The 8,923-nt window shown below is 41.1% G+C and overlaps 1 protein-coding gene across 1 annotated transcript in view; it reads left to right on the top strand.

The window, feature by feature from the left end:
- Positions 1 to 391: 391 nt before the first annotated feature.
- USP26 (ubiquitin specific peptidase 26) overlaps positions 392 to 8,923 on the top strand; it is a 73,942-nt gene continuing 65,410 nt past the window's right edge. The window contains exons 1-4 of the mRNA NM_031907.3: positions 392 to 471; positions 6,058 to 6,148; positions 6,738 to 6,783; positions 7,275 to 7,388. The gene's annotated coding sequence lies outside the window, so the exon portion shown is untranslated. The remainder of the gene's footprint in view (positions 472 to 6,057; positions 6,149 to 6,737; positions 6,784 to 7,274; positions 7,389 to 8,923) is intronic.

Genomic DNA, 8,923 nt, shown 5'->3' with positions numbered 1-8,923 from the left:
TCCCTGCTACGAATTGAGTCTCATCCCAATGGTAGAAATGGCTGGGAAGATCTTTCCCGTACAAGGCAATAATATGCAAAAAATGTAAAAGCGGTTGGCGCGTTATTTGAATTCATTGCGGGAACCACGCAGAAAGTCTCGTGGGAGTTACTTTGTGATAGTTTTTTCCTTCCATTCCCCACAGTTCCTGCCACTGCACGCGCAACACCTCCAAGCAATAATCCTTCCCACCAATAAGGAGCAAAGGCCCGGGGTGTGGACGGACTTTCCTGTTATAGAGAAGGTGGGAGTAGACAGTATCCTGGTCAATTGTTTCAGTCACAACCAATCAGGATCTTTGAGGGTGGAGCCATACACTGGCAATAAAAGAAGCCTGCCCCTGTGGCGGGGCCCATTTTGTTTTCGATCGTTAAGTGGGCACGTGGTGGAGCGTTGGTGTGTCAGGGGTGTCGACTTCTTCCACAAACTATTGTAAGATCAATTTGCTTTTCATTTGTAATAGTTATTGAGAGTTAGATATTTGTAGTGTGCTTTCTATATGTGGCTATATGAAATGTAGTAGTATACTTTTTCTTTTCTTTTCGTTTTTCTGTTTTTGTTTTTTTTGAGACGGAGTCTCATTCTGTCATCCAGGCTGTAGTGCAGTGGCATGATCTCGGCCCATTGCAACCTCCGCCTCCTGGGTTTAAGCGATTCTCCTGCCTCATCCTCCTGAGTAACTGGGATTACAGGCGCCTGCCACGACGCCTGGCTAGTTTTTGTATTTTTAGTAGAGACAGAGATTCACCATATTTCTCAGGCTGAGCTCCAACACCTGACCTCAGGTGGTCCACCCGCCTCAGTGTCCCACACTGCTGGGATTACAGGCGTGAGTCACCACGCCTGGCCTCTCTTTCTGTTACTTTGGACCTGGAAAGAATCAGCTTCCCATTGGGAGGGATTGTGCACGGTATTAGGACAGTTAATGGCCATTAGCTGCTGCGATGTTGTTTGTATTTCTTTCTTTTAAAAATGTAATATTTGTGGTTATCTTTTGGAGTCGGTTCTTTCATCCACTCACTTTCAAATAAAAGAAAAGTTTTCTGGTGTTTAAAACTTGAAAATGTTGTCTGGTCAGTGCAGGAATTGTTCATTGACAACTTCAGATAGCCTCCTGTTGGTCATTCGCTATTTTGCATTTTTATACAGTATAGTTGTGAATTTAATTGTATTCCACGAAGAGTGCTTCTCATATTTTTCATTCATTTGCCTTTAAAAGTTTGGTCTTAATTGCAGTTGATGTTTTACAAACAATATGGATGCTCTGCCTCTCTAGCTGTGGTGGCTAGTGTTTGTAATCCCAGTGCTTTGGGAGGTGGGAAGGAGGCTTGAGTCCAGGAGTTAGAGACCAGCCTGAACAGCAGAGGGAGACCTCATTTCTACAAAAAAAAAAAAAAAAAAAAAAAAAAAAAAATTAGGCCGGGCGCCGTGGCTCATGCCTGTAATCCCAGCACTTTGGGAGGCTGAAGTGAGTGGATCTCCTGAGGTCAGGAGTTCGAGACTAGCCTGGTCAACACGGTGAAACCCCGTCTCTACTAAAAATATGAAAATCAGCCAGGCGTGGTGATATGTGCCTGTAATCCCATCTACTGGGGAGGCTGAGGCAAGAGAATCACTTGAAACCAGGAGGCGAAGGTTGCAGTGAGCCGAAATTGTGCCACTGCACTCTAGCCTGGGCGACACAGTGAGACTACATCTCAAAATAAATAAATAGCCAGATGTAGTCTCCCCGAGTAGTCTTGGCCACGTATGAGGACCTCTTTAGCCCAGGAGGACGAGGCTGAAGTGAGCTGCGTCTGTGCCACTGTACTGCAGCCTAGGCGACAGAGCGAGACCCTGTCTCTTAAAAAAATATTGTTGGCATTGGAAACTTCATAGGTTTCTTATGAAAGGTTTTGTACAAGTTTCAGTTTGCAGTAGAGGAAATTAACTGTCGATTGAGTGCATTTTATAACAGAACAGCCTATTTGGTATAATTTTATTTGTCCAAATTCTGGTCTTGTTTCCTCTTCATTAATTTCCTTATAAAATAAAAGTTTTGGAGTAATCTTGATTTACAAATGCACAATTTAATCATCTGGCTGTGTCCTTAATGTTTTGCACCAGTGACTGCACTTAAGTGTCTTATCATCGGCTGCCATTTAATGGAATTTGGAATTTTATTTTACAGAGGAATTCTGTGTTAGGTAGCATTTTATTCCATTAAATGTGGGTCCTAGTCCTTTTCATAAATTTTGTGTGAAGAAAGTTTTGTATTATCTTCAATTTACAAATAACGAAAAGAATTTTCTAATTGAAAGAATGTTTTGTGGCATTTTCTTTCTTTTCTTTTCTTTTCTTTCTTTCTTTCTTTTTTTTTTTTTTTTTTGACAAGAGTCTTGTTCTGTCGCCCAGGCTGGAGCGCAGTGGCACGATCCCAGCTCACTGCAACGTCTGCCTCCCAGGTTCAAGTGATTCTGTTGCCTCAGCCTCCCAAGTAGCTGGGATTACAGGTGCCCGCCCCTATGCCCAGCTAATTTTTCTATTTTTAGTAGAGACGGGGTTTCACCAAGTTGGCCAGACTGGTCTTGAACTCCTTACCTCAGGTGATCCACCCTCCTCGGCTTTCCAAAGTGCTGGGATTACAGGCGTGAGCCACTGTGCCCAGCCCGTTTGTGGTATTTTTAATGTAAAAATGCACACATTGCTAATTTGCCTGAGAGCTTGTTTTAGGACACTAAATTGTCACAAGTGCCAATCACCAGCCACTGCAGAAAGTTTTTTGGGATATCATATCCTGAAACAATTGTGTGTTGAGGTTCAATGTATTCAATTCTGCTCGAGTTTTTTGCATACGTTTCCTTTAAAAGACGGAGGTATTTCAGTGTGTAAATGAGGAAATTAACTGTAACGTCAAATGTTTACTTTCTGGCAGTGAACAGCCGTTGGAAGTCATGTTGCCTCATCTGAATTTTATTGTACAGTATAGTTGTGTGTTTAATATAATGGTATTTATACATTTTGGCATAGGTCCTCTTTCCAAGGTGTTCCTTCCCAGAAAAAAAAAAAAAAGGTTTCTATTTAAGAATAAGGAGGACAGAAGTTGTCTAGGGCCAGGTTAGGAGAGAAAATGGAAGTAGATCCTTCTAGATCCTTCTGGATCTTCTGCTCGCTTCCTGGCTGGCATGCACCAACCCTGTCCCTTAGCCACGCAGTGTGCCACAGTGCTACAAGTAACACTTAAAAGGTAGCCGTTTTAAATTGGCAGCACTGGCTTCTTTACATTCCTACTGCCATTTTGTGACTCCTATTGTGTATTCAGTGGGATAATTAAAATTAAAGGAAAACTTTAGTCTCTCTCAAAAACTTGAGCATAATCACTGAGAAACAAGATTTTTGCTTTGAGGATAAAGTGTAAGTATTTTTTTAAATGGTGCTGATTGAATTTACTTATTAGTCTTTGGCCTGGTTTACTCTTTTTTTTTTTTTTTTTTTTTTTTTTGAGACAGGGTCTGGCTTTGTTACCCAGGATGGAGTGCAGTGGTGTGATCACGGCACTCTACAGCCTCGACCTCCTGGGCTCAAGTGATCCTTCCACCTCAGCCTCCTGAGTAGCTGGGACTGAAGGCATATGCCAACCCACCTGGCTAATTTTTGTATTTTTTATAGAGACGGAATTTTGCCATGTTGCCCAGGCTGATCTCCAACTCCTGGGTTTAAGTGATCCACCCCACTTGGCCTTCCAAAGTGCTCAGATTATAGACGTGAGCCACTGCACCTGGCTTATATTTCTTTTTTGACATTATCTGTTAAATAATGCTATGAGAGTTGAGGATTTTTTTTTCTTTTTTGGACACAGAGTCTCACTCTGTCGCCTAGGCTAGAGTGCAGTGGTGCCATCGTGGTTCACTGCAGCCTTGACTTCTGGGCTCAAGCAATCCTTCCACCTCAGCCTCCTGAGTAGCTGAGACTATAGGCATGTGCCACCATGCCTGGCTAATTTTTCTTCCTCCTCAATAGACTTTAAGCTCCATGGGGGCAAGAACTTTTTTCTTCCGTGCTATAAACGTGGTGTCTCTAATAGTGCCTGATATATAGCAGGCACTCAAGTAATATTTGTTGAATGATTTAATCTAGTAATTTTTCTGGATACTGATTAAAATGTTTATTTAATTTTACTTTTTGTTTTTTTGAGAGAGAGAGGTTTCACTCTGTCACCCAGGCTGGAGTGCAGTGGCAGTAATCTTAGCTCACTGCAACCTCTGCCTTCCTGGGCTCAAGTGATCCCCCCACCTCATCCTCCCAAGTAGCTGGTAGCTGGGATGTGCACACCGCAATGCATGGTTTGTTGTCATTGTTGTTGTTTTGTTTTGTTTTTCTTTTTGTTTTTGAGAGATGGGGTTTTGCCATGTTGCCCAGGCTGGTCTCCAACTCCTGGGCTCAAGACATTCACCTGCCTCAACCTCCCAAGTGTTGAGATTACAGGCGTGAGCCACTGTGCCTGGCCTAGCCTGGTTTATTCTTGATTTGGATTTGAATTATATATATTATCTAGCATCTGAATGACTTATTAGTACCTTTATTGGTAGAAAGTTGGTGTTTTCCAAATATCCTTCTAGATTGAATTTAGAAACCTGAAAAATCAGTTGCTGGTAAGAATGAAAGTTACCTCTGCCTTTGCTAATATAAGGTGCCAAGATTTCAGGAATTAAGATATTAACTAGCCTCATAGATCCTGACTTTTTGAGCAGAGCCCTAGATCTTAAATAATAATTTAACCCTAGAATTTAGAATTTAGATCCAGGTATTAGGCCGAAGGCACTTTTCTTATGTCCACTTCGCCCATAGAATCCTAGAGGGGATATTTTCCAAAGAGCATACCCACAAAAGCCAATATTAGCAACTGTAAACTTTTGTGGATTATTTCTTTGAAGATCTATTCTCAGTGTCAGATGGCACCAACATTATTTAATGGTTGCAATTATTCGTGAAATTATCCTAAATGATACTAGCTTCCTTCTGATGTCCATGTTTTTCTAACTTACTGTGTTACTAATTACTTACACGAATACACCATGAGAATGCTATTGTATAAGCTGGTGAACAACTCAAACCTCCGATTTCAAAAATTTGTTATCTGTGATCCTGTATGAGTCTTTTTCACCATGGTAATGAATACAATCAACTGACATCTTTGAGACTCCCCTTTCTAGAAGTTGAGATCTTGCCTATTAGCTTAATATATAATTCCCCTATAATGTTTGATTAAAGCAAGATGAACTATAGTTTATTTTGAAGGGACAATCAAACCTCTGAAGCAATAGTCTTGTCTGATCTTGTAACCACAAGATTAATGCAGTTCCTATTATATTATGTTTCACCCTGTATGATTGGGTACCTTGATCCAACCAACCATTTTCAGAAGTTTCTCTGAATAAGTGGAAAAGGAAGTGTTCCCCAGCCATCCACCAAAATGAGTTCCAAGTTATGTAATTTTCCTGCAGTGGTGCTGGGCTGTCCATCCACAGGCAAGTCTCTTGGCAGATTCATACAGTCACCATCTCCTTCAGAACCTGTGATGGAAAAGTCCAGTACCAGTGAGCCTATGGTTCTGTAATGTGAAAAAGATGGAATTGGAATCAATTGTCAAGATCACCTAGACAAGTTCAGGGTGTCCTTACATTGTGTGAGGTGACTAGTGTCTTATGAAGGGCAGCCCCCTCCTCCTGTCCCCTGTGCATCATTAATGATGGCATTGAAACCCCTTCCTAGAGTTCTAGAGATAGGGACTACCAACAGTGGTAGTCACTCTTCCTAAGTACTGCTGACTCCATGATACTGACTCTGTTTCTACAACCTGTTCCTTTCATTAGACAGGGGCATATTTTTCTACTTCTTAATTGTGTTCCTCATGTACACTGTGGGTGCCGCTGTTACAGAGACATTGACAAACTTAGACTGTTCTGATTTCAAATAAACCTGATTTTGACTTTTTAACACCAAAGTTCTGATCTTTATTTCTATTTTTTGGAAAACCAGTAAGAGACAGCAGCAGGAGGGACTGGACTGGATTGTAGAAAACTTCAAGAGTTAAGGAGTGCGGAGTGCTGCTCAGGTGCCTTTGTTTCAGGTATGAGAATATGGGTCTGAAGGTAATTTGAAAGCCAGCCTTATATATACAAGGAGGGAAAAGATAGGTCCTGAGGACCAAGTAGGTGTCAGGGAATGGTAGTCTGCCAGCCTGCTCCACTTGTGACATTTATTTGCTAGGGTTCCTGAAGGTATACGCCAGCAATTAAAGTAATATGTAGGTTATTACTCCTTCAGATGTTTACTGTTCCATACATTGTTGTCCATTTCCTTGCTCTGCAGACATTGCTGGTATGACAAGGTTCCAGTTTCTGAGTCTGAAAGACACTGGGCTCATTTTCACTCTAAGGCAGTAGTCTGGCAGCTCAGCTGGTTTCTAACATAGTATTTTCACACTTTGTGACACTGTTAAAAATTGTCAATGAATTCAGGCATTGGAAGCTGGGGACAAAGATTTGGGGTTTGCATGCTAAGGCTCCCTAAGCCTTGTGTTTCCTGTCTTGTTACACAAAAGAAGTACAGTGGGATGAATGAATTTGGGTAAATAGATCATGACAAAAAGTGCTAATGTTATTTGGGTTATGTTGAATGCTCCCATATAATAAATGCTCTCTCTTGTGCCTGTCCAGGTCATAGTCTCTGTTCTATATAGCAGCCAACCACAAGGGTTGATTGGTAAGCATTCCTGCATCTGTGCTGTTCCCCCTAGATTGCTATCTGATATGTTTGTTTCAAACATGTGGAGATCCTGTGTCTGAACTTGATTTCACCATTGCTGTCAATTTTCAGGCAAGGTATACAGTAACTGGGTCAAAATTCCTTTCTGATGAATGATAGAATTTCATATCAATTTGGGATTCAAGCTTTCAGTACATGGGAATACCAAACCTTAGAGTGGGGATCTTCTAACCAAAGTTTACACTTCTGGAGTTGTTGCCTGCTATGGCATATGTTCTGGAATGTGGTCTTTCCCTGTAGCCATTTAACAGTAAGCCTTATGATTTGTACTTATTAATAACATCTGTAGAGTAAATGCCTGAATTATGTAGTTTTCACTCTTGGTGCTTTGTAAATTTCCTCTTGGATTGCTTTTGAGTCAGACAGACCTCAGTTTAAGCCTGATTTACCAGTAACTAACTTTCTTTCTTTTTTTTTTCTTGAGACAGAGTCTCACTCTGTTACCCAAGCTGGAGTGTAGTGATGCAATCACAGCTCACTGCAGCCTTGACCTCCTGAACTCAAGTGATCCTCCCACCTCAGCCTCCTAACTGGGGCTACAGGTATGTCACTATGCTCAGCTAATTTTTTATTTTTTGTAGAACTCCTGGCTGTTCTCAAACTCCTTGGCTCAAGTGATCCTCCAACTTCAGCCTTCTGAGTAAATGGGGCTACATATGTGTGTCACCACACTCAGCTAATTTTTTATTTTCTGTAGAGTGGGGTCTCACTGTGTTGCCCAGGCTATTCTCAAACTCCTAGGCTCAAGCAGTCCTCCTACCTCAGCCTCCCAAAGTGCTGGGATTACAGGCATGAGCCACTGCATCTGGCCATCAGTAACTTTCTATCCTTAGTTCCCAACTAACTCTTTGGGCCTCAGTTTTCCTTTTCTGCAAAACAGGAATCCTTCTTTGCTATCAGAATGTTGTAAGAATCAAGTGTCATAATCTTTGTAATGCATCTAGTACACAATAGGCACTCATGAATGAGCTCTCCATTTCCTGAATGCACATATTGGAGGGAGGACATACAGTGCTTGGTTTAGCACCTCTCCCACCTTCCTTTATTTATTTTCTTTCCTTTCTCAGGTATTGCACATTCCTCATAGATTATACTGTCTTCTCTTGGGAAACCACAACCCTGTAATCTGGCTAAGGATCTCAGATTTTTTCTTGCTCTGAGCTGAGTTCTGTTCTGACCAACTAGGACACATTACACTGAGGCTAGCATCATAGTTCAGCATCCAGCAGGACTCTAGCTATCTGGGATGGAAGATGCCTATTAACTAGCAGTCCTAGAAATTTCTTTCCTCGCCTGTAAAAAGTCACATTTGGGTTGTGATTAGTTCACTGAAGATTAGGTGAAGACACTTGACAACGTAAGAAATGGAGGATTAAATGCTAAATATAAATATGCACTATCCTAAGAGTATCTTTTAACCTTTAGTCTCAGTAGATACCTGTGATTCCTCTACTTTTCTGTTAGCACATATTTTATTCTGGTAGCATCATGTAATCTGAAGTTCACCCAACCAAGGTAAAAAAAAAAAATCCTCATTTCTTTTTTTTAGAAACTAAAGTGTCTGTTACATAGCACATTGACATTTCAAAGCCTTTTGATTTATCCCTGTAAATGGCTAAATTACTTTAAACCATGGAAGGTGGAAATCATTGTTGTTATTTCCTGTCCAGTAAAAACTGGGGCCAGAGTTATTTAGAAAAAAAAAAAAAAACTCTACCTAAAACCACTTAATGGAGCTTTGCCACCAAGTTCCTTCATCAAGTGGTCTGATAGTGACCTTAGCTCGTTTGCTAGATGAAAAAAAGAGTGAATCCTAACTATAACTGTGACACCTTCTCCTTTTGCACACACTTGTTCTACCCACTGCTCTTCACAGTCATCTTGGGTCTCTTCTTTGGTAGTTTCTCTAAGTATTGGCATTTAAAAAGTAAGTCACAAGGTAGAGGAATCCAAAAGGGTTAATCTCTGTTTGGGCAGATAAGCCCAAGAGGTAGAAACCTAGGAAAGGTGAAAGTGACCCTATTCAGAACTTAAAGTGGGACCTGGCTTCTTGATTCCTAAGAGGTCCAGTCCTTTG

This window comes from Homo sapiens, chromosome X (assembly GCF_000001405.40).
Source record: "Homo sapiens chromosome X, GRCh38.p14 Primary Assembly".
Taxonomy (NCBI): domain Eukaryota; kingdom Metazoa; phylum Chordata; class Mammalia; order Primates; family Hominidae; genus Homo; species Homo sapiens.
This window is presented reverse-complemented; position numbering and strand designations above follow the sequence as displayed.